Genomic DNA, 1,378 nt, shown 5'->3' with positions numbered 1-1,378 from the left:
GGAAAAGTCATGTCTAAGGACTTATAGACTATTTGTGAACACATCTGGGGACAGGTGTGTCACCATATGTGATTGAGGAGGCTGGCTCCAGGTCAAAATCCTACCAGTGATCTTTCTGTCCCGACCACAGGCGATTACAAAGGCTTTATCTGGCAGGCCTCATGGGGGAAGCTGTCCTTCCCACACCACAATTGGTGCATGGTCTGGAGGGAGTTGCAATCAAGGACACAGTGCCTCCCAGACTGGCCATGCTCCTACACATGTCTACATTCCTAGTCCAAACACCTCCTTTCAGAGGTCTCCTTATCAAGACACTTGTCTCCACTGTGACATTGTGACTCAGTATTCAGTACTTTTCCACTCCTTGTCCCCAACCCGTCTCCCATCCCTAAGGCAGTGAGCGAATCCGCCATTCTGGATTGATCCATCTGATGATACTCCCCTGGAGCTGTTCCGTGGGGAAAAATGGAACATTAGAGAGCTGGTGTTTTGTCCTGTTGGCCTCTTGCTTATACAATTGCAGTCAGTGAACAAAAGCTTAATTGTTACTTTCAGCTTGGCTCGTTGTCTTAATTGACCACATTAACACCTGTCAGCTCCTCACTCTCCAACTCAGCTCCTGACGGTAATTACATATCAAACTTTGGAACAGAGACACAATTTACACTTCCTATTGGGGGTGAATGGATATTCATCTATAAAAATCAGGCAGCTTCTCTGAATTCCTGAGTTCCCCTGCTATCGAGGAGACTTGAAAGGCAATGTTGTTTCATGTACAGGATACAGAACAACAACAACAAAACCAGAAATCCTGGGTTCCAATGTAATTGAACCTTGTGTAATTTGGACATAAACCCGTTGTCCAAATTTGCTCGGTTTTTGTTTTCTTGATTGTAAAGAGAAGAACTCTGGATGAGTTGATATCTAAGATGCCTTTTACTCTGGTTTTATGAAGAGAGTGCTCACCTGGGTCCTCACCTGGGTCCTCATCTCTTCACTTCTGGGTGCAGGTTAGAGTATCTATCCAGACTTAACTAGGATGTGGGAGTGATGGAGTGGGGAGGTTGAGGCTGGTATGGTTTGAATGTGTGTCCTCTGCAAAATTTATGTGGAAACTTACTCTTCATTGTGATAGTATTATAAGGAGGGGCTTTTTGGGAAATGATTACGTCATGAGGGCTTTGTCCTCATGAATGGATTAGTGACTTATATAAGGGCTGGAGGGAACAAATTTAGGTTTCCCCTTTTGCCTTTCTGTTCCTCCGCCATGTGAGGACACAGCATTTGTACCCTCCCAAGGGTGCAACAACAAGGTGCCATCTTAGAAGGAGAGATTGGACACTCACCAGACACAGAATCTGCTGGTGCCTCCAACTTG

At 45.3% G+C, this 1,378-nt stretch overlaps 1 annotated feature.

Annotated features, from left to right (window-relative positions):
• Positions 248-749: an enhancer, noted in NCBI's record as "NANOG hESC enhancer chr4:144169634-144170135 (GRCh37/hg19 assembly coordinates)". NCBI's record gives its function as "activates a minimal SCP1, AML or CMV promoter by ChIP-STARR-seq in primed H9 embryonic stem cells {active_cell/tissue: H9 hESC(primed)}" and the evidence as "EXISTENCE:reporter gene assay evidence [ECO:0000049][PMID:30033119]".

This window comes from Homo sapiens, chromosome 4, assembly GCF_000001405.40.
Source record: "Homo sapiens chromosome 4, GRCh38.p14 Primary Assembly".
NCBI classification, from domain to species: domain Eukaryota; kingdom Metazoa; phylum Chordata; class Mammalia; order Primates; family Hominidae; genus Homo; species Homo sapiens.
This window is presented reverse-complemented; position numbering and strand designations above follow the sequence as displayed.